Source organism: Homo sapiens, chromosome 2 (assembly GCF_000001405.40).
Source record: "Homo sapiens chromosome 2, GRCh38.p14 Primary Assembly".
In the NCBI taxonomy this organism is placed as follows: Eukaryota; Metazoa; Chordata; class Mammalia; order Primates; family Hominidae; genus Homo; species Homo sapiens.
Window position 1 is genome coordinate 240,929,830 of NC_000002.12, and position 23,466 is coordinate 240,953,295.

Here is a 23,466-nt window from a genome sequence, read left to right on the forward strand (position 1 = left end):
CAGTTCCTGAGAGTAGCTGGGGAGCCGCGACTGAGTCAGCACCTTCTCTCTTCAGGGGCCCACGCACCCCACCCTCCCACCTCCATGCACGCAGGCTGGCCTGGGAGGGCTGGATGTGGTCACGTCCCCAGATCATCTCCTGGGGAGGGGCACAGTATGGCCCCAGGGTGGGGTTGGGGGAGCCCAGGGCTCATTTGCCTGTGAGATATGGGGGCTTTGGGATGCTGGGTCCACTTCCAGCCCCCATGGAGAGGGACATGCACTTGGAAAAGAGTGGGCTTCAGGGAGGGTAAAGGGGCCCCAGCCTGAAGTAGACAGGAGGCCTCTTGCTTTCAGACCCGGTCAGGGGGCCTGGGGCAGCCCCGGGACCTCCTCCTCCTGTGGAGACAGGCCGTGGTGCTGGGGACAGACCTGGCCGAGCTGCGTGTAGCCACTGAGAGGTGAGTGCCAGCCGCCCCACCTGGGGCCAGGCACCAGGCTGCAGGGAGCTGAAACCCCCTTGGGGAGGGGGAAATCGGTGCCCAGGGCGGGCTCTCCCGTGGGTGCAGTAGCCCTGGCCTGCCGGCTTCTCACCCAGCCCTGGCTGGGCCTCAGGCCGGCCAGTGGGAGCAGCGATGAGGGCAGCCTAGGAGGGCAGTAGGGGAGAAGGACAAACAGGCCAGGGAGGTAGGTTGGGGACACCAAGGAGAGATGAGAGGAGGGTGAAGAGGACACTGTGGGGTGGGGGACACCTACCCAGATGGAGCTTCTGGAGTCTGTCCAGCCCTTGCTGGGTGCCACACTGGAGGTCAGTCCTGGTACCACCCTGCTAGCCCTTAGGTACGTAGCAGCCCCTTGCGCAGGAGGAGTCGGGGGCTCAGAGGGTCGATGACTCGGTGAAGGCTGCTGAAGCCTGAAGTGTGCAACCTGGTCCTGCCCCTGCTCACTCCTCCCCAGCTGCCTTCCTGGTGTTTGGTGACACATGGGAACAATCAATGCCATGCAGTGGGGGCTTCTCCTGACGATGGCCAAGGAGGGGGTCCTCTGTGGGGCTGATGGGACCAGGCCCTCCCTCTGCAGATGGGTCCTGAGTCCGCCACAGATGCTGCCCTTGTCTCCCAGGGGCCTCGCTGACCTGCAGGCAGACACGGCCAGGACAGCCCGCCGCCTGCACACCGCCTGCCTGAACCTCGACTCCAACCTGCGGCTGTCGGCCAGCAGCACGGCCAGCACCCTGGGGCAGCAGCTTCGGGACAAGGCTGGGGAGATGCTGCAGCTGCAGGGCCGCTGGGACGCAGAGAAGGTGGCGCTCCAGGCCAGGTGGGCGCCCAGGGCCAGCAAGCTTGCACAGGGAGGGCCCGGGGGGTCGGGGCCCATCCAGCGTGCCGAGCAGCTGTGGATCCCAGATGTGGTCACACCGTTCCAGGGCAGGTGGGGCCCTGATGTCACTGGTGGTGCACACTCTTCAGAGTCACCATCCCAGTGGCTGCAGGGCACTCCCCTAATGCCCAGGAGGCAGACACTGGGGTCTCCTACAGTGAGGGTTTCAGGGAGCACGGCAGGGAACTCACTGGGACTGCGTCCTGGGGGTCAGCACCCAGAACTGGAGTTTTCAGGCTTAAAGCAGGAACATTCTTCTAGGGGCAAGAGCTCACCTTAGGTAAATCATATAAAAACCGAGGCAGGAAGAGGGACCAGGCCACCTCCTGCCCGATATGAAGGACACCCACGCCCTCTCTGGGGGTCTATGAGCCCCGCCGTGATTGTGGAAGGTTTTGGACCCACCACCCACATCGGGGGCTCAGAGGTCTCTTGAGGGCAGCTTCAGCAGAAAGTAGGGAGGCGGCTCCCCAGTGGAGGTCTAACCTGCTGGCCGTGGGGCCAGTGCCTTACAACCCAGGGTCCAGGGCCCACTTGTCCACAAACACCCCACCAGGCTGACAGGCAGAAGCCCTCCCTACCCTCAGGGGGTCCAGCTGAGTCAAACACACCACAACCCAGCCCCAAATGAGCAAGACAGGACATGGGGGCCCAACGGTGCCATACAGCTGCAGGGGCAGCACACCAGGGCCTGAGCCACAGGAAGGGGGACCTGGGGTCTTTAGGAAGAAGGTGCATCCTGGGAAGGAAGGAACAGTAAAATTACTTATTGTTAGACTAATGGTGACAGGTGCTCCAGGCAGAAGGACTGGCCAGGAAAAGGCCTGTGGTGGGCACTCCCTCTGTTGTGCCACAAGGACAAGGCAGAGCCTCGGGCAGCCACTGCATCTGAGGCTGGAGAGCTGGTCAGGGTGTGGGCCTTGACTCCTGAGACACTGGGAGCCACTGAAGGCTCTGTGGCAGGAGAGACACATGCTCAGACCAGGGACAGAGGCCACTCAGACGGAGGCATCACCCAGCACCGGCAGGGGGGCCACCGCACAAAGGAGTCCGGGCAGAGCCAGGGCATGCTTGGGTGCCCGTCCTCTGGGCCCTGCCCTTCACCCCCACACCCCCCGACTCCTCCCAGACTCTCGGAGCAAACCCTGCTGGTGGAGAAGCTTACAGAGCAGAATGAGCAGAAGGCGAAGACCATCGCTGCCCTCAGAACCGACCTGCAGAACCTGGTTGGTGGGCAGGACGGGGGTGGCTGTGTGGCAGGGGTCTGTCACCCTTGCTCAGGAGTCTCCCCTGCCACAGGAAGCCTGGTGCGGCAGTGGACGGCCTGCAGGGCAAGGTGGGGTCCCTGCAGTGCACTTTGAGGCACGTCAGGAAGGTGTGGCCCCTCGCCTGTCCTCCCAGTGGCAAAGGTGGAGGTAGCCCGCAGGGACCCTCAGGACTGTCTGCGCGGTCCCCACCAAATCATGGCCCTGTGCTCTGGGCCCCTCTATCCCTTCCTCTCTGCACCTTGAAGGTGGCCCAGGAGGACGCCCGGTGCCTGGAGCTGGCAGGTAGCAGCATCACTGAATTGGGGGAGCCACGGCGCCCACTGAGGAGCCCCCAACGTGCCACATCCCCCCATCAAGGGGCGTCCCCACCACACATCTGCTCCCCAGCCACCCTGGACCCCGCACTGCAGGCCATGCGGGCAGCCATAGAGAGGCGGTGGCGGCGGGAACAGGTGGGCAGCCGCAGCCCACAGGACTCCCTGTCTCCCTGAGGGCAGAAACATGAGCCCCTCAGGCTGAAGGGTAGTTATGGGGCCTGCCCCTGAGCCCCATGGCTCCAGGGAGGGGCCCCAGTGTCGGGGGTGTCCTTTCTGGGGAGTCGCAAGCCCTGGTGGGCCTCGGTGGGCAAAGCCTGCCTAGGCCAGAGAGGCCCACAACTTACCCCACCCGAGCAGGAGCTGTGCCTGCAGCTGAAGTCCTCCCAGGCACTGGTGGCCAGTCTCCAGGAGCAGCTGTCCGAAAGCCGGCGGGAGCTGTGGGCCGCACAGAAGCTCCAGCAGGAGCGGGCTCGGGAGCAGGCACGGGAACGAGAGGCTCTTCGGGGCCAGCTGGAGGCCCAGAGGCTCGAGGTGCAGCAGTGCCGGGCATCCTGCAAGCTCCTGGGGAGGTAATGGGGTGAAGGGGTTGCACGGCCTTGCACAGGGTGTATGGGATCCTGAGGGCCCAGGGCTGCTGTCAGGACAAGCACCTCTAGAGCTGGAGGGGTTGCCAGCCGGGGAGGGGTCCTTGCCTTCTAGCAGAGTTGTGTGAGCACCAGTTGAGCGTGGGCCAGGGTGGGACACACCCGCCAGTGAGACCCTGTCTGCTTCTCAGGCTCCCTCTGCCCATGCAGTCTCAGGGGCTGGCATCCACCCAGCCCCCAATGCCCACCAAGGCACGCGGTGCACCTTGAATGTGTCCAGGGCCGCCCCAACTCTGCCCCCACCATCCCCAGGGAGAAGGCTGCTCTGGAGATGGTGGTGGAGGAGCTGAAAGGGAAGGCAGATGCTGCAGATGCGGAGAAGCAGGGGCTGGAGGCCGAGGCTGCAGAGCTGCAGAGAAGCCTCCTGCTGCAGGCAGAGCGGAGGGAGGAGCTGGCTCTGCGGAGGGAGCGGAGCTGCAGGGCACTGGAGACCAGGTGCGCGGCCGTGGCTGGGTGGGCAGGGCCCCTCCCACAGAAGAGACCCCACTCTGCCACCATCAGCCACTTGGCCTTGGGCCACGGGTCTGCTTTTTCACCTGTCTCATCTCAGGGTGTGGTGGCCCTAACAGGGCAGGGGCGGGGGCTCTCCAGGCTTCTCCCCAGGCTGCACCATCCTCCAGACCAACCCTCACTTCCTCTGGCCCAGTGCCCCACCTGGGCCACCACCCCGTGGGCCCATCAGATGTGGGGCCCCACCCCTCCCGTCCCCCCGGAGGCACTTGTGCCTCCCCTGCCCCGGAAATGAAGCCTGGAAGCGAAGGGCTCCCTGCCTTCCTGGTCCTCCAGGGACTCCATGCTCCTCCTGGGCCTCCCTGGGCTTGGAGGGAGTTGCAGGTGGTCGCCTGCCTGAAATCCCATGGGGCAGCCACTGCTCACCCTGAGCGACCTCCCGCCCTCTGGTCTGGGGCCTCAGTCAAGGCCGCCTGCAGCAGCTGGAGGAGAAGGTCTCCGGGCTCAGAGAGGAGCTGGCATCGGTCCGGGAGGCACTGAGCACAGCACAGCTGCAGCGGGATGTCGTGGAGAGTGAGAGGGAGGGACTGCGCAGCGCCCTGGCGCGGGTACACTCTGCTCCCCACAACCCCGCCCCCTCTCCTGTCTGCCCCCACCCACCCTGGCCTCACTGACCTGGCCTCCCACTCCCTCTCTCCTGCCTGCCGGGCCCCTCAGCCCATCACCAGAGATCCCAAAGTCACCAAAGTTCTCTCCCGTCCCCAACCAGTAGGCACCAGCCTGGCCCAGCTGCTGTCAACCCTGCTGGCCACGCCTGCTTCTTTGTGGCCTCTCCCTGGACCACCAGCCACCTCCTCTGGCTGGAGCCTTAGTGCCTGGAGCCACCATTGGCCCTGAGACCTCCCCACTGTGGCGACCTTCCCACCATGTCCGCCCAAGAGCTCTGGCTTGCACACCTCCGTGGCTCAGGGCTCACTCCTTTCCCAGCGGCAACAGCCCTGCCCTGGAAGCTGAAGGTCCCTCCCTGGCATCCCCCTCCCTGCCCCAGGCCGAGTGCAGCAATGCGGACCTGGAGCTTCTTGTGAGGCGGCTGAAGTCGGAGGGAGTGGAGCAAAGGGACTCCCTGGCCGCAATGGCCGCCTTGATGGAGGGGTTGGCTCAGGACAAAAGTGCCCTGAACCACCTGGCTCTCCAGGTGAGACAAGGGCCAGTGGGGCGGGCCTCGCTGGAACCTGTTTCCCAGGTGGCTGTGGGTCTCCCAGCCCTAGGCCTTCTTTCCATCCTCCCAGATCACTTCCTCTCCTGGTTTGAGGTTTTGGGGACAAGGGAGCCTGACTAGCCCTGGCCAGGCCTGAGGGAGGGAAGAGAGTGCCCCTGGGCCAGGCCTGAGGGAGGGAAGACAGTGCCCCGGGGCAGGCCTTGGGGATGGCTGGCCTACAGGGACCGAGGATGGGGGGAGTGGATGCAGAGCCCCCGACACCTGGTGGCAGCTGGAGCAGGAGCGGGACCAGCTGCGGGAACAGCGGAAGACTCTGGAGCAGGAACGGGCCCGGGCCGGGGAGCAGCTGGCACAGGCGGAGCAGCAGCTGGCGCTGGAGCGGGCAGAGCGCAGGGGCCTGCAGCAGGCCTGCGGACGCCTGGAGCAGCGGCAGGAGCAGCTGGAGGGGCAGGCAGCCCTGCTGGGGCGAGAGAAGGCCCAGCTCCAGGAGCAGGTGGGCCAGGTGAGGACGTCTGCAGGGCATGCTGCCGCCGTCTGGGATGCGGCTGGGTGGCAGGTCTTGCCTAAGGTACTTCTGGGAGTCAGGCAGGCTCAGGATGCCCACATCAGCTCTTTCTGTCTTGGTAACGGATCAGGCCCAGTGCTGGCCTCCCCGTGGGGGTGGGGGCAGGGGGAAGGTATGCAGAGAAGAAGATTCCCATCAGGCCTGGCCACCATATCCATCCCGCCACTTGGCAGGGGAGCCCGGGCCTCAGGCCAGTGACTTCTGCACACTGGGCTCTTAGTGAGCTTTGCTGTTTCCTCCTCTGTCTTGTTTCTCCCTGGTCCACATCCACACAGCTGAACTCTGCGACTGCACATTCACTGGTGCCTCACTCATTTATTCCCAATTTCCCCATCTTTTGTTGAGGAAGCTCAACTCACTGGAGAAAAAAACAGTCTTGGTTTTTTCCAATCCTGCCTCGTTCATCCGTGTGAAAACCCTGTCCATGCTGAGTTTCAGGCCCCTGTGACTCAGATTCCGCAGCCCCCGTCACATTCAGGACAGCTCAACCCTCCTTCCGTTTTCAGATTCTGCCTTGTCCTTTTCTGGGGTCACCTTTTTCCTCTTTTTCTATTGACATTTAATAAGTCAGTGTACAGTATCAATGAATTTTGACAATTGTACAAAGCCAGGTAGCCGCCACCAGGATCAAGACACAGAACATTTTTGTCAGTCCAGCAGGTTCCCCCACGTGCCTTCAGCCATTGCCCAAAGCCCCCGGCTCCCACCCAGGTGACCTCTGCTCTGATGTGCAGCACCACGGACTGGATGCACCTGTTTCCGAATTCCTTATAAATGGAGCCATGCAGTGTGGACGCTTTTGTGTCCAGCTTCTCTCTCTCAGCATCATGTCTTGGAGATCCATACATGTTGTTCAGTGTATCACTAAGCCCTTTCTTTTTAACTGCATAGTTATATTCCTTGGGATGAGTAAACCACATCTGCTTACTCATCCACCTGTTGCTGGACATTTGGATTGTCCAGCAACAATGTTTCCAATACTGGTCCTGCCTACAAGGTCCTTCCTTGACCCTGCCTACAAAGGGCACTTTTACATATCACTGGGACCAGCACCCAGGTGATGTGAATTCTCTGCCTGAACCCTGCCTACAAAGAGCATTGTGGCTTATGTCTAGGTCCATTATGTAAGTGATGTGACTCCCTTCTACTGCCTTGGCCCTGTACTTATGTTGCATTGTGTGACACACACTTGGTGATATGGTTTAGATTTGTGTCCCCACCCAAATCTCATGTCAAATTGGAGGAGGGGCCTGCTGGGAGGCGACTGATATGGGACTGTGATGCACAAGGCTGCTATAAACCTTCTTGTACAAGTCGCATACATATATTTTTATTTTTCCTAACTAAATACTTAGGACCAAAACTGTGCACTCACTGTATAGGTGTGTGTTGAACTTTTATAGGGAACAACCAAGCAGCTTTCCGAAAAAGCAGGCAGCTTTCCAAAAGTGGTTCAATCACTTTGCTGCAGCCAGCAGTGTAGAAGAGTTCCAGTTGCTCCTCTGCCTTCTCGACATTTGGTATTGTCTGTTTTTTTGGGTTTTGTTTTTTGTTTTTTTAGCTATTCTGTATATGTGAAGTGATACATCACTGAGGATTTCATTTGCATTTCCCTCATAACTGAAGATATTGAACACATTTTCATGCATGTATTGGATATTCGTATGCTTTATTTTATCAAATGTTCAAATCTTTTTCCTATTTTTTAAACTGGGCTTTTGCATTTTGGTTATGAATATACAGGAATTTATATATCATGGATACAAGTACCTTGTCAGATACATGTCCTATGACTATTTTCCCCAAGGTTGTGGCTGCCTGTACATTTTCTCAATGATATTTTTTATGGATGGACATAAAATTTTAACTTTGGCAAACTCCAATTTATCTATTTCTTTTTTTAGTTTTACAATTAGTATTTTCTAGGTTCTGTCTGAAAAATTTTTGCCTACCCCAAGGACAAGAAGATATCCTCCTACATTTTCATCTGGCTTTCACATTTGGATCTATGATCCATTTCAAGTTTATTTTTATGGACAGCAGGGGTTCTCCACGTGTGCTTCCCAGACTAGCAGCATAAACATCACCAGGTGATATGGTTTGAATCTGTCTCCCCACTTAAATCTCATGTCAAATTGGAGGAGGGGCCTGGTGGGAGGTGATTTGTTCATGGGGCCAGATTTCTCCCTTGCTGTTCTCTTGATGTTGAGTGAGTTCACACAAGATCTGATGGTTTAAAAGTGTGTGGCACTTCTCCCTTCACTCCCTCTCTCCTGCCACCATGTGAAGAAGGTGCTTGCTTCTCCCTTCACCTTCCGCCATGATTGTAAGTTTCCTGAGGTCTCCCAGTCATGCTTTCTATTAAGCCTGTGAACTGTGAGTCTGTTAAATCTCTTTTCTTCATAAATTACCCAGTCTCAGGTAGTTCTTTACAGCAGGGTGAGAACAGACTGATACACCTGGGGACTTGGTAAAAATGCAAATGCTCATGCCTCACACAAGACTTACTGAATCAGAAACTCTGTGGGCGGGGCCCAGAAATCTGGATTTTAATTAGCCCTCCTTGGGATCCTGCTGCACACTAACGTGTGAGGACCACATGTGTATGGTATGATGTAAGAACTAAGGTCCATTATTTTTCATACTAATACCCAGTTTTTCCAGCACCATTTTTTTCAAGTCTCTCCTTTGGTCCTTGATTAAATGTGGCAACTTGTTGAAAATAAACGGATCATATATGTGGGATTTGTTGATCTGTGCAAGTCAATCTATTCATTCTTTCACCAAAACCACACTGTCTTGATTATGATAGCTTTTTAGTAAGTCTTGAAATTGAGTAGTGTACACACATCCACCTTGTTCTTTTTCAAGATCGTTTTGGCTGTTCTAAATCCTTTGCATATGCATATACATTTTAGAATCATCTTGTCAATTTCTTCTTCCCTCCCCTGCAAAATAGCCTACTAGGAGTTTGATTAAAATTGTTTAGAATTTATAGATCAACTTGAGGAAATGGACATCTTAAATATACTGAATATTACATCCATGAATATGGTATATCTCTCCATGTCTTTACTTTCTTTCTCTCAGCCATGTTTGTAGTTTTCAATGTAGAGTTTTCTTCCACATCTTTGATTAGGTTAATTCTAGATTTTTATATCATGAATTATATTACGGTTTTAATGTCATTTTCTTATTGTTCATTATTATAGAAATACAATTTCATATGTTTATTTTGAGTCATGTGACCTTGACAAATTCACTTATAAGTACTAAGGTTGTATGTTTATATAATTATTCATCTGTAACAATAGTTTTACTTTTTTTCTGATCTGAATATCTTTTATTTCTTCTTCTTATCTTATTGCACTAAGACCTGCAGAACAAAGTTGAATATAAGTGGTGAGAGTGGCCATACTTCCACCCAAGGCAATCATGGGGAAATAATTTGATGTTTCACCATTAAATATGATGTTATCTGTAGGCTTTTCATAGATGCCCTTTATCAGAGTAAGGAAGTTCCCTTCATTCCTAGTATGCTGACATTTTTAAAAAATTATAAATGGGTACTGGGTTCTGCTAAATTCTTTTTCTGGAACTATTAAGATGATCACATCATTGTTCTCCTCATGTTGTTAATGTAGTGAATTACACTGATTAATTTTTTAGATGTTAAACTTGCATACATAATAAGCCCTACTTTGTCGTGAGTTAGTATCCATTTTATATATTTTTTATTCAACTTATAAATATTTTGTTAAAGATTTTTGCATCTATATTTGTGAGTAATATTTCTGTAATTTTCTTTCCTTGGAATCATCAGATTTGGAATCAGAGTTGTGCTCCTAAAATACACTGGAAAGTAGTCTCTCTTCCTCTGTTTCCTGAAAGTGTGTGTGTAAAATTGGTATTACTTATTTCTTAAATGTTTGGCAGAATTCACTAATGAAATAATGTGAGTCTGGGGTTTTCTTTGTGAGAAAGCATTTGATAATGAATTCAATTTCTTTAACAGATATAAAATCTATTACAATTTCTTATTAGTTTTTATTTATGTTTCTTCATCTGCATCCTAATAATTTTGCATGTTGTGTTTTTATTATTAGTCAATTCAAACTATTTTCTCTTTCCCCATGTGATTTATTCTTTGCCCCGTGGATTATTTGGACATATATGGCCTAACTTCCAAATAGGGTTTTCTAAATGTCTAATTGTTATCAATTTCTAACATAATTCCATCACGATCGGAGGACATACTCTGTATTATTTGAATGGATTTAAATGTATTATGTCCCAGTCTGTTGTCTATCTTGAACACATCAAAAGAATGTGTATTATGCTATTGCTGAGTGCATTGTTCTATAAATATAAATTAAATCAAGTTGCTTAGTAGTGCTGTTTAAATCTTCTAAGTCCTTACTGGGGTTTTTTTGTGTGTTGATTTATTTCTTTGATTGGTTGTTTTTGTCTACTTGCTGCATCAGTCAGTGACAGAAGGGCATTACAATCTCTAGCTGTGATAATGGAATTGTCTGTTTCTTCCACTAGATCTCCCCTTAGTTTCTTCCACAGCCAATTTTTGCTTCATGTGTTTTGAATTTCTATTATTAGGTGTATATATATTTAGTATTTTATTTCTTCATGAGGAATTGGTATTTTATCATTATAAAACATCTCCTCTTATCTCTAGCAATACTCTTTTTTGATATCTACTTTTTTGATATCTACTTTTTTGATACTGATATAGCCACTTCCATTTTCTTATGCTTAGTGTTTCCGTGGTATATCCTTTTCATATATTTACCTTCAACTTGTCTATGTCTGCTTATTTAAAGTGTGTGCCACCATGATCAAGTGGGTTTCATACCAGGGATGCAGGGATGGTTTAACATACATAAGTCAATAAATATGATATACCACATAAACAGAATTAAAAACAAAAATCACATGATCATCTCAATAGACGCAGAAAAAGCGTTTGACAAAATCCAGCATCCCTTTATGATTAAAACCCTCAGGAAAGTCGGCATTGAAGGGACATACCTTAAGGTAATAAAAGCCATCTATGACAAACCCATAGCCAACATTACAGTGAATGGGGAAAAGTTGAAAGCATTCACCCTGAGAACTGGAAGAAGACAAGGATGCCCACTCTTACCACTTCTATTCAACACAGAACTGGAATTCTTAGCCGGAGCAATCAGACAAGAGAAAGAAATAAAAGGCATCCAAATCAGTAAAGAGGAAGTCAAACTCTCACTGTTTTCCGATGATATAATCATATACCTAAAGACTCCTCCCAAAACCTCCTAGATCTGGTAAATGAATTCAGCAAAGTTTCGGGATACAAAATTAGTGTACACAAATCAGTAGCTCTGCTGTACACCAACAGGGACTAAGCTGAGAATCAAATCAAGAATTCAACCCCTTTCACAATAGATGCAAAAAAAAATACTTAGGAATATGCCTAACCAAGGATGTGAAAGACTTCTACAAGGAAAACTACAAAACACTGCTGAAAGAAATCATAGACGACACAAACAAATGGAAACACATCCTATGCTCATGGACGAGTAGAATCAATATTGTGGAAATGGCCATACTGCCAAAATCAATACACAAATTCAATGCAATTCCCATCAAAATATCATCACCATTCTTCACAGAACTAGAAAAAAATCCTAAATTTCATATGGAACCAAAAAAGAAGCCACAGAGCCAAAGCAAGAACATGCAAAAAGCAAATCTGGAGGCATCACATTACCCAACTTCAAACTATACTATAAGGTAACAGTTACCAAAACAGCATGGTACTGGTATAAAAATAGGCACATAGACCAATGAAACAGAATAGAGAACCCAGAAATAAACCCAAATACTTACAGTCAACTGATGTTCGACAAAACAATCAAAAACATAAAGTAAAGAAAGGACACTCTATTCAAGAAATGGTGCTGGGATAATTGTCAAGCCACATGTAGAAGAATGAAACTGTGTTTCTTTTTGTTAGTTTTAGTGATTACCCTAAAATTATGATATGCACAGTCTATATCCAAATATTATATTACTTCACAAACAATGTAAGACCCTTCCAGCAATACATTCCATTCATCCCTTGCTATGTTTCGAATGTGTCCCCTCCAAAATGTAGGTGTTGAAACTTACTAATTGTGATAGTATTAAGAGATGGGACCTTTAAGAGGTGATTTAGGCCATAAGGGTTCCACCCTCATCAGCGAGATTAAAGCCTTTATGAAAGGGGCTTGCAGCATCATTTGTGTCTCACTTTCCCTTATGCCTTCCACCATGTGAAGGTGCAGCATTCTTCTCATCCGGAAAATGCAGCATCAAGGCACAGCCTTGGAAGCAGAGAGTAGTCCTTGATAGACAGCTGAACCTGCCAGCACCTTGATTTTGGACTTCCCAGTCTCTAGAACTGTGAGAAGATAAATTAATAAATTTCTGTTCTTTATAAATTACCCAGTCTCAGGTACTTTGTTATAGCAGCACAAATTTACTAAGACATCTCTTCCATACTTTTTGCTCTTGTTGTTCTATATTTTATTTCTGTGTGTGTTGTTATAAACCGTACATTACTTTATTAATACTTTTTACTTTTAAATGATTATTTTTAACCATTCACACACACACACTCAATCATCTTTTCACAAACATTTCAGTTATTTGGTAACATTCTTTTCCTTCTTGAGTATGTTTTTAAACATATTAATTACAATACTTTTTGGGTCTTTGTCTGATAACTCTAACATCTGGATCCCCTAATGAGCTATTTCTATTGTCTTTTATTTATTTATTTTCAGTAGTTTGGCCTTGTCTCCTAGTATGCTTAATATTGTTTGTTTTTTTATTATGCTTAATAATTTTTGATTGAATGACAGACTTTGTGTTTTTGTAGATATAATTCATAGAGATAATTTAAGGCTTTGAATGATATAAGCTTCTTCTAGAGGGAATTTGCTTTTGACTTTGGGAAATCAGAATAGGGATAAATTGCCTTTATCCAGTCCAGGATTTAGCTGCTTTGTAACTGTACTTCAGTCTTTTGTGAGGAGTCGTCTATTTCTGGCTTATCCCAGGGTATAATATAACTCTCCTATGTTCCTAATGGGAAATCTCAGGTGTTTACCAGGGTTCCTACTCTTTAGTTAGCCCTAAACTCCAGGTTTTATTTTCTTTTTATTTATTGTCTTTTTTTTATTATCTTTATTTCAGATAGGACTTTCAAAAGTACTATCTGACTTCTCAGACTGTCAGCTGCTATTTTTTTGTTCAGATTCGTAGTCTCCTGGTCCTTTACTACTTCTGAATTATAAAAAATACATACTTTTTCAAAGCAGTACCATTTATTTTATTTTCTGAGACAGGGTCTTTGTTGCCCAGGCTGGAGTGCAGTGGCATGACCATGGTTCACTGCAGCCTCGACCTTCTGGGCTCAAGTGATCCTCCCACATCAGCCTCCCGAGTAGCTGGGACTACAGGCACACATGACCACGCCCAGCTAATTTTTGTGTTTTTTGTAGAAATGGGGTTTTGCCATGTTGCCCAGGCTGGTCTCAAACTCCTGGGTTCAAGTGATCCACCTGCCTCAGCCTCCCAAAGTGCTGGGATTTTGCGCTCAGCCAGCAGTACCATTTTTTAAAATCGCAATATACAATCTCAGGCTTACCTCAAGGCATTTCCTTGCTCTCTGATATCCGCTCTTCTTTTCGTTCCCCGGCTGCTTTGGTATATCTGAACTCTAAGTTATATCTCTTCAATCTCATAAGCCTGCTGAAATCTTAGGCCATGTTCCCAGTCTTTTAGCTAAAGCTTTTTTTTTTTTTTTTTAATTTTTAAGCAGAGTCTTGCTCTGTCGCCCAGGATGGAGTGCAATGGGGTGATCTCGGCTCACTGCAACCTCCGCCTCCTGGGTTCAAGCAATTCTCCTGCCTCAGCCTCCTGAGTAGCTGGGATTACAGGCATATGCCCGGCTAATTTTTGTATTTTTAGTAGAGATGGGGTTTCGCCATGTTGGCCAGGTTGGTCTCGAACTCCCGAGCTCAGGTGATCTGCCCACCTCGGCCTCCCTAAGTGCTGGGATTACAGGCATTAGCCACCAAGCCCGGCCTAAAGCTTTATTCTTGGATACTGAGGCTCTACACCCCCTGTCACTTAGGACTTGGCAGATACCTCAAAGGGGAAATCTGTTGTATTCATAGAATTTCAGACTCACTTTAATATATTTCTCTCTGTAGCCTGAACACCTGGGACCTGACTGCGTTAGTATCTCTCTAATGCTTTTAAACAGATTATTGGATTGTACGTTGTATTGCTTTTCTAGTTGCTTTAGATGGGAGGGTTGGTTTTCAACAACCCACCTCACCATTATCAGAAGCAGAAAGTCCTGGTTTTTACTTTTGAAGAATGTTTTCGCTGGGTATAGAATACTAAAATAGCCATTATTTTCTTTCAGAAATTTAATGAAGTCATTCCATCATCTTCTGGCCTTCATTGTTGCATAGAAAGCAAATGTCAGTCTTGTTCATTTCACGCCTATGTGTCTTTTTCCCTTTGTTTTTTAAAAAACATTTTTCTTTATCTTTGGTATTCAGAAACTTTACTAAGTTGTATATATGTGACATTTTCTTTTAATTTATCCTTTTGGGGGTTACAGCTCATTTTAAGTCTGTGGCTAGATGTATTTTATTAGATTTGGAACATTCTTGGCCTGTATCTGTTCAAATGTGCCCTCTCATCTCCTTTTGAGGCTGTAATTACACATATGATGGGCATTTTTAGCTTGTCCTATATGTCTATAACATTCTTTTGTGTATTTTCTATCCATCCTTCTATCTCTTTATGATTCAGTCTGAACACATTCTTTGTCTCTCTTCCAGGTTATTAGTCCTTTCTTTTATTCTGTCTAATCTGCCATTGTCTATTAATTTTTTTTTTACTTTTGGTTATTATATTTTAAATTGTCTTTTTTATATTTAGTATCCAGTTCTATTGTTAAACTTTACGTCTTGCTATCCATCTTCTTGAACACGTGAATCAGCTATTTTAAAGTTTGTGTCTGATAACTCCAATATCTAGATAACCAGGGTAGGAGGATCTATATCTATTTTCTGTTCTTATTAGTGGTTTTTTTGTCATGTGGTCCTGTCTCCTGATAGGCCAGATCTTGATTAGTCAATCTTATATATAATAAATTATAGAAATAATTTGAGGATCTTGATGATGCGATTCTTCTTCCAGAAAGCATTTATTTTTGTTCTTGTTGTTGTTTGTTTGTTTGTTTTTGAGAGAGGGTCTCACTCTGTCACCCAGGCTGGAGTGCAGTGGCATGATCTTGGCTCACCATAACCTCTGCCTCCTGGGTTCAAGCGATTCTCCTGCCTCGGCCTCCTGAATAGCTGGGATTACAGGTGTGTGCCATCGTGCCTGGCTAATTTTTGTATTTTTAGTAGAGACGGGGTTTCACCATGTTGCCAGGCTGGTCTTGAACTCCTGACCTCAAGTGATCTGCCTGCCTTGGCTTCCCAAAGTGCTGGGATTATAGGCGTGAGCCGCCTCAGCTGGCCAGAATTTACTTTTGACCCTGGCAGGCAGTGAACGTAGAAGGTCACTGTAATCCAATCCGTGACTGGGATGATTCGCACGTGAGCTTCGGTGTCTATGAAGGATGGTCTATTTCTGATTCACCGCTAGTACTAGGGTCAAGCCCTGCTGTGAATACAACTTGATGTCTTGTGATATTTATCAGAGCCTCTCTGTTTTGGTGGCTCTGAACCCTAACTTTTGTCCCCCTCAGGCCATGGTACTGCCAGAAGTTCTTCTTGGCATCTCAATTTTTCAGCCCAAACTCTTAAATGAGCAAATGCCTTGAGGAAGAGGAGACATTAAATGCTGGGCTCATTCCTCTGTACCTCCCTTCTCTCCAAGATCTTCACTCCTTCGGTCCCAGCTGTCTGTTCAGCTGTCTGAGGTGTCTTGCATATTCTTATGATATATTCTTTCTAGATTTTTATGATGTTCTTGGTGGAAGTGTTGGTCTGCAGCAATCTAGTTTTCTGTTACCTTCTATTGCCATTTCTATGCAGCATTTCCTGACCCCTGGACACTGGAGGACCAACAAATGGTACCATTTAGATTGACAGTTGGCTCCTACCTAGGAGTGCCCAGTTCAATACCATCTCCATCCACTCAGGGTACCTGAGTGGATGCCCCCTCTATTGTAAAAACATACATGTGTTTCTGAGATCCACCCACTTCTTCCACTTTCACCTCCATGCCATTCTGCATAAAATCACTTCTTCTGAAGTCCTTTCTTCCCCTCAAGAGGCCCATGCTCACCCACCCACTTACTCTCTTTCTCTGCCGACTGTCCCCTCCCCACCTCCCCTAGGTCACATGCCAGAAACAGGCCCTGGAGGAGCAGCTGGCTCAGAGCCTGCAGGACCAGGAGGCCCAGATGGGCACTCTGCAGCAAGCCCTGCAAGGAAAGGATGCTCTGTCTGAGGAGCGGGCCCAGCTGCTGGCCAAGCAGGAGGCCTTGGAGAGGCAGGGCCGGCTCGCAGCTGAAGAGGCAGCTGATCTCAGGTATGCAAGGGCCTGCCAGTCAGGGCATGTCCCACGTGTCCTTGCCCACAGAGAGTCTGCAGTGTGGCAGGGTATGGGGACAATCGCACCATGACATAGGACTGGGAGGGAGCGTGTGCCCATGAAATGGGCTGTGAGTGGAGGCGAGCACAGAGCCTTTGGGTTGGGGGAGGGCATCTGGAAGAGGTCAACCCAGTGAAAGCGCTGGGGTCACCCTCCTGAAAGAGGTGGTGGCAAGTGCAGAAACACAGCTCAGACCAGGGGAAGGCAGATGTGGAATGTCTTGCTCATGGAGCTGAGGAGTTCAGGGTGAATCCAACTTCAGGTATGGCTGGATTCAGGCACTCCCACAGTGCCCTCAGAATCCTGCTTCTCTCTCCCTCAGCACAGCTTGACTCTGAGATCTTTTTCCCAGGCAGGCTTACTCTGAGAGGTGGCAAGATGGCCAGCAGCCACCCCAGGGTCCCCCTTCCAGCAGATGCAGAGCACCCTTCTCCCTGCAAGGCCTGAGAGCGGCTGCCATGGGCCGTCTTGAGCTGTGTGACATCCCTGTACCAATCCTAGGAGCTGGGAGTCACAGGGCCTGATCCCAGGCTTGGGCTGCACACCCATCCCTGGAGCCAGAAGCAGGGTCAGCCCAGGGACACATGAGGTGGAGAGTGTGGGCGGGTGAGCCCAAAGGCCCTCAGGGCAACTCCCAGAAGTTGGGACGGGCACTCGCAGGCAAGAACAGGATGTGTGTAGGCTGTTGCCTGGTGATCTGAATGGGTCCTGCAGCCTCTGCAGAAACCCAACAGCTGATGGCTTCTGTGCCTTATAGGCCCTGCTTAGGGCCCTGCTCAGGCACTGCTAAGCATTTTTGTTGAAAAGATTTCCTCCTGGAATTCTAGAATCTGGGAGGCATGAGAAACCTTGGAGTCTGGGATCCTCGAGCTTCACAGACAAACCTCTTCTCCAAATGAAAGCTTGCACAGCAAGGAAAACCTGAGGGAGGCTGCTGCGGGTTGGGCTCCTGCCCATGCTCCCTCCTGGGCCCTGGGGGCTCCAAGGACCGGGGTGGAGGTCCCTTTCCTGCTGTCAGGGTCTACTGCCCAGAACACAGGCCCCAGCCAGAGCCCTCAGCAGCCTGGGTGCTGCCCTGACAGCTGCCCCTACCTCAGCCCTGCCACTGACCCGAGGTCCCTGCACATGGCAGCCCTGCAGGCCCCAGCATCACAGGCCACTGAACAGGGCATCCTGATGGCCCATTGAGCCTCTGGTGACAGAGGGGCTTGACCTGAAGCCACGTCTGCCCGGACACACTCTGTGTGTTTATCTGACTGGCCCAGTGGGGCCAGAGAGCGTGGAAGCTGCCATTGATGAGCTCGCAGGTAACATTCAGGACCATTAAGTGTGGGAAACCGTGCTGCAGCTCCTTGCTTCTGATGAGGCCTCCCCACGGGTCTGCTTTATGAAGGGCTCCACTCTCGGATCCTCAGGCCCTGACAAGGCTTCAGCAGTGGGGACCTGCTCCCTCCCTTCATGGAGTCCTGGCCCACTTGTCAGCCAGCAAGATGGACCAAGGTCCCCGCCAGCCCACACCCCAAGCAGCCCTGCCTTGCTCAGAGCACCCCGTGGTGGGCCAGGCCTCCAGTCCAGGGTCTCAATGGCAGAGCCCCTGGAGTTTCTCCTGGGCCCCCAAGGAGAGAGAGGCTGGGCACACGCTCAGGTCCCCAAGCTTCAGGCAAAGACATCTGATGTCTGAGCAGCAGAGGCCACATCCCTTACAGGAGACCAGGCGGGCCTCTAGGAGGAGGGGTTTCCAGGCTGACTTGAAGGAAAGGTTTCCTACACGCAGAAGGGGGAAGAGCTGCCAGGTGAAGAGAGCACTCAAGCCTGGGAGTGTTGGGATGGGGGCCATGAGGAACACTTACGGGAGGAGGGACCGGAGAGGGAGCAGAGTAGCATGCAGCAGAGTGAGGTCTCTGGGGGTTCTGACCTGAGCCCAGAGGACTTCCCTCTGCGAGCCCTGGCGAGCCCCAGAAGGCTTGGATGTGCTCTACCCCGATGAAGGGGGTGGCGGTGGCCAGAAAGATGGAAGAGAAATGGAGGCAGGGCCTGATCAGGAGCTGCCAGGGTCTCTGTGGCCCATGGCCCACCCTGACCTCATCTGTTTGGGGTTGTGCACCTACCATTTGTGTGTTCATATGGGTGTCTGTGTTTGAGTCTTTGTGATGTGTTTGTACGTGTTGTTTAATGCCTTGCTTTGTTCACGGATAAACACCCAGCACAGGGCAGCGAACAGCAACAATGAAACTTGCCATTGATGGTTGGATCATTGATGAATTAACTGTTAGAAATGTGAGGTCTTTTATCACCCCTCCCTCCCAGGAATGGGCACTGCTGTGTGTTGGTGTGTGCTCCAGGTGTCTTCTGAACAGTGGCATCTCCATGCACAAATGCACCAAGCAGGCTTTTCACATGATGGAATCACGCCGTATGTGGGGGTCCAGTTGCGTGCGTGGCTTTTTGGGGGGACTCTTTTCATGACATGAGAATAGAAAATAGTTTCCTCATCCTTGTTAACAGCACATGGTGCTCCAGAGATGCACCATAATTTCTAAAACATTCTTCCATTTATTTGCATTTCAGCTGAGTCTCATTAACACCTGTGTAAAGCTATAGAGAGCATTTTACACGCAGGATCTTGGGGATGACTTGCCCATTGTTTGCTGCATCTTTGCAGGGTGGAGAGGGACTCCCTGGAGAGCAGCCTCCTTGAGGCCCAACAGCTGGCCACAAAGCTGCAGGAGCAGCTGGAGGAGGAAGCCCGGAGCGCAGGACTCGCGCGGCAGGCCTTGCAAGGTGCTCCAAGGGCGCTCCCTCAGCTCCTTCCCCGAAAGTCAGCCATGGAGGGGCCCCTGGAATGGAGCTCAGTGCCCACACGTGCTGCACCCCCTCTCCGGAGCCCACAGGGGCATGAACATGAGCTTGGAGCTCATGCGACTGAGCGACTTGGGCCACCCTCGCCCATGAGGAGCAGCAACACCCTGCCCAGGCTGCACCTGGTGCCAGCCTGAGGCTTAGAACTGGGCTCTGGCCACAGGGTCAGCATGTAGCCTCCAGCTGCAGCCCTGTACCCTTGACCCTGCTCAGCCCACCCTGCCATGTGCTGGCCACCCACTCCCGGAGCCTGGAGTGGACAGTGCTTGCCCCCAAGACTGTCACTCCCTAGGAAGTCCCAAAGGGTTCAGGGGTCCACATGCCAGGCCCTGGTGCATCTCACCCATCACCCCACAGTGGAAATGGAGCAGCTACAAAGTGACTGGGAGGTCCAGGAAATGAAGCTGCGGCAGGACACGGTGCGGCTCCAGCGACAGGTGGCACAGCAGGAGCGGGAGGCACAGCGGGCCCTGGAGAGCCAGGCGTTGGCCCACCGAGAGGCCCTGGCACAGCTCCAAAGGGAGAAGGTCTGCTTCCCAGGAGCCCACCAGTAGCTTCCTAGAAGGCTACCAGGTCCCGGGGAATGGCAGGCCCTTGGGAGGAGGGGGCCCTGGGAGACAGAGCTCAGAGACATAGGCGCCTGGCCAGGGCTGGGCAAGGACCAGCTCACTCTTTATAGTTCACGTGGGCATCCAGGGCCTTCCCCGTGGAGCCCTCATATTGGGCTTGGGTTTGTATTTGGGGCGGGCCTCCCTCATGGAAGAGGCTGGAAGGGCTGCTGGCTGGTCTGGTGCAGTCTGAAGGATGAGGGCTGGAGGGGGCCCCACACCCATTAGAGCCGTCCCACAGGTCACAGGCTTCTGGAGGCCTGGTTTGACATGTCTTTACACCCCTCCGTGGCAGGTGCACTGCAGAGACTCAGGAATGGTTTACAAACTGATAGATGAATATGGGATGACAGGTGCTGAGACACAGAGAGGCCCTCCCTGCTCTGCTGACCCTGAGGGGAAGACGTGGGGGGTGTGCAGCTGGCTGGTCTGGACAGCCCCTGGGGTCCATCAGCCCTGGCATCCCACGGGCCAGGTCTCACTCAGGACCATAGACAACTGCTGGCCTCACCTGCCGGACCTCACAGCCCATCCCTTTACCTTGGCCCAGGAGACCCTGAGCCTGACCCTGGCAGAGGAGAAGGAGGTAGCCAGATGCCAGCTGGAGCAGGAGAAGGAGCTGGTGACAAAAAGTGCAGCTGAGAGGGAGGCTCTGAAGGGGGAAATTCAGAGCCTGAAGCAGGAGCGGGACGAGAGCCTTCTCCAACTGGAGCACAAGATGCAACAGGTGATGGTGAGGCTGGGGGGCAGCGGGATTGCTCACACCCACTGCACCTGTCACCTCTGGCCCAGCACAAGGGCTGCATGTGGCCACACCTTAGGCAGGTCCAACCGCCTACCCACCCATCCATCCATCCATCCATCCAACCATCCGTCCACTCACCCACCCACCTATCTGTTCATCCAGCCATCTGTCCATTCATTCACCCATCCATCCACCCATCCACTTGCCCATCCATCCATCCTTCCACCCAGCTACCCATCCATCCATCCATCTCTCCATCCATCCCTCCATCTGTCCATTCATACACCCACCTACCCATCCATCCACCCATCCAACCACCCACCCATTCACCCATCCATCTGTCCATTCATTCACCCATCCATCCATTTATCCATCCATCCATCCAGCCATCCATCCACCCATTTACCTGCTCATCCATCCATCTACCCATTCACCTCCTCATCCATCCATCCACCCATCCACCTACTCATCCATCCATCCACCCATTCACCTCCTCATCCATCCATCCACCCATCCACCTGCTCATCCATCTACCCACCCATTCACCTCCTCATCCATCCATCCACCCATCCACCTGTTCATCCATCCATCCTCCCATCCACCTGTTCATCCATCCATCCATACACTCATCCACACACCTACCCATTCATCCATCCATCTGTCCATCCATTCATTCATCCATCCGTCTGTCCATCCATTCACCCATCCATCCATCTGTCCATCCATTCATTCATCCATCCGTCTGTCCATCCATTCACCCATCCATCCATTTATCCATCCATCCATCCACCCATCCACCTGTTCATCCTTCCATCCTCCCATCCACCTGCCCATCCATCCATCCATACACTCATCCACCCACCTATCCATCCATTCATCCATCTGTCCATCATCTCTCTATCCACCCATCCATCCATGCACTTGAATGACCCTCCACACACTTGTCATCATCCACCCACTCACTTGAATATCCATTCTTCTTTCCACACATTTAGCTATCCACCCAGATATATGGCCATGCATCCACATTCGTAGCTGTCCATCCACACACCTCACCATCCATGCAATCATTCATCAGTTCATTTGACTATCCATCCAACTATCCATGCACCCAACCTTCCATCCACACAGCTATCCACAACCCATCTGACCATCCATCCATCCATCCACTTAACATCCTTTCATCTGTCCACAAACTCAGCTGTCAAGTCACATATCCAACCATCCATCCATGTGTCTATCCATCCATCTACCTGGATCCGCCAACCAGCCAGTCATCCAATCATCCATCAGTGTATCCAACTCAAACACCAAGCCAAGCACACAACTACCAGCCACACATCTGGCCATCCTTCCATCCCATCAGCAGTTGAGACTCAGCCACTAGCCCTATAAAAGCTACCGAGTCTAGGCTGTTCCAGTATATCATGCTACCCCGAAGAATTCACTGTTGAGTGAAAGGAATGGACACATGAACACGTCCACATTGTGTCCCATGGGGTGATAAGGACTATAAGATGTTGGTACAAATTACAGGCCGGGTGCTGTGGCTCACACCTGTAATCACAGCACTTTGGGAGACCGAGGCAGGTGGATCACTTGAGGTCAGGAGTTCAAAACTAGCCTGGCCAACATAGTGAAACCCAGTCTCTACTAAAACCACAAAAAATTAGCCGGGCATGGTGGTGGGGACCTGTAATCCCAGCTACTCGGGAGGCTGAGGCAAGAGAATAACTTGAACCCAGGAGGCAAGCTTGCAGTGAGCTGAGATCCAGATACTCCTTCTCAAAAAAAAAAAAAAAAAAATGACAAACTGCAGGAGGAGTTACAGTAGCCGAAATAGCCAAGATTTATTGTCAAACTCTCTGCATTTAATATTTGATTCTTGCAACACTCTGAGGCACATGCTCTAATTATCCCTATATTACTGGTGAGAAAACTAAGGTCCACAAATGTTGAATGCCTTGCACAGGGTTGTGCAGTGCACCTGCTGGGCACTGAGGTCTGTGCTCTTAACTGCCCCACTACTCACATCCTTAGATAGAGGAAGGGAAGGACTTACAGGAGGAATGGTAGTGTTGAGTGGAGAGGACGTGGACATTGGCAGGATGTCTGGGCATGGCATGAAGTTCTGCACAGCTGCCAGGCTGCACGTGAGTGGAAGCAGTGAGAGAGGTGTGCAGTGGAGCTAGGACGGGCCTTGGGCGCCAGCATCAGGTGATAGGGAGCCAGTGGATGTTCTTGAGCAGGCGTGATATGATAGGAGTTGGGCGGAAACGAGTCTGGGGCCAGGAGACTGGGGAGAGGCTGAGGCAGGGTCCATGCGAGAGGGGCTGAGAGCCAGGCAAAGGAGGAGAAAGGTAAGTTCAAAGCCCCTTGGGAGGTGGTGATATTATTCCCATTGGATATATGAGAAAAGAGGCTCCAGGGGAAGCAACACATCTGGGGAGTGGGTGGCCCGTCAAGGCCCCCACGCAGCCCCTCATTCCCATCCGAGACCAACCACTGGGCAACGTGGCCTGTTCTCATGTGGTTATTTAATCCCAGCTTCCCAGTGGCACACACAGCCCCCAAGAGAGGGGACCTCGGTCAAACAGGAGTGCAGGCTTGGTGGCTCATGCCTATGATCCCAGCACTTTGGGAGGCCAAAGCCAGCAGATCATCTGAGGTCAGGAGTTCAAGACCAGTGTGGCCAACATGGTGAAACCCCGTCTCTACTAAAAAAAAAATACAAAAATTAGCTGGGTGTGGTGGTGGGTGCCTGTAA

General features: G+C 50.8%; 1 protein-coding gene and 1 long non-coding RNA gene across 3 annotated transcripts in view, besides 1 other annotated feature; one reads left to right on the top strand and one right to left on the bottom strand.

Moving 5' to 3' along the window:
- Positions 1-23,466, top strand: part of CROCC2 (ciliary rootlet coiled-coil, rootletin family member 2) — an 86,976-nt gene that overhangs the window by 23,494 nt on the left and 40,016 nt on the right. For both annotated transcript variants that reach the window (XM_024453115.2, NM_001351305.2), the window contains exons 6-18: positions 337-440; positions 1,102-1,299; positions 2,489-2,585; positions 2,873-3,079; positions 3,302-3,513; positions 3,841-4,023; positions 4,502-4,646; positions 5,087-5,233; positions 5,529-5,759; positions 16,231-16,424; positions 19,150-19,268; positions 19,704-19,873; positions 20,505-20,681. In XM_024453115.2, coding sequence (XP_024308883.1) covers positions 337-440; positions 1,102-1,299; positions 2,489-2,585; positions 2,873-3,079; positions 3,302-3,513; positions 3,841-4,023; positions 4,502-4,646; positions 5,087-5,233; positions 5,529-5,759; positions 16,231-16,424; positions 19,150-19,268; positions 19,704-19,873; positions 20,505-20,681 — 2,184 coding nt within the window. The remainder of the gene's footprint in view (positions 1-336; positions 441-1,101; positions 1,300-2,488; positions 2,586-2,872; positions 3,080-3,301; positions 3,514-3,840; positions 4,024-4,501; positions 4,647-5,086; positions 5,234-5,528; positions 5,760-16,230; positions 16,425-19,149; positions 19,269-19,703; positions 19,874-20,504; positions 20,682-23,466) is intronic.
- Positions 1,313-3,376, bottom strand: LOC112268440 (uncharacterized). Its single transcript, XR_002959483.1, has 3 exons — positions 3,289-3,376; positions 2,525-2,683; positions 1,313-2,313 (listed from the first exon to the last, which is right to left on the bottom strand). It is a non-coding gene; the product is annotated as an uncharacterized LOC112268440 (long non-coding RNA).
- Positions 19,295-19,812: an enhancer, noted in NCBI's record as "H3K27ac-H3K4me1 hESC enhancer chr2:241888541-241889058 (GRCh37/hg19 assembly coordinates)". NCBI's record gives its function as "activates a minimal SCP1, AML or CMV promoter by ChIP-STARR-seq in naive and primed H9 embryonic stem cells {active_cell/tissue: H9 hESC(naive and primed)}" and the evidence as "EXISTENCE:reporter gene assay evidence [ECO:0000049][PMID:30033119]".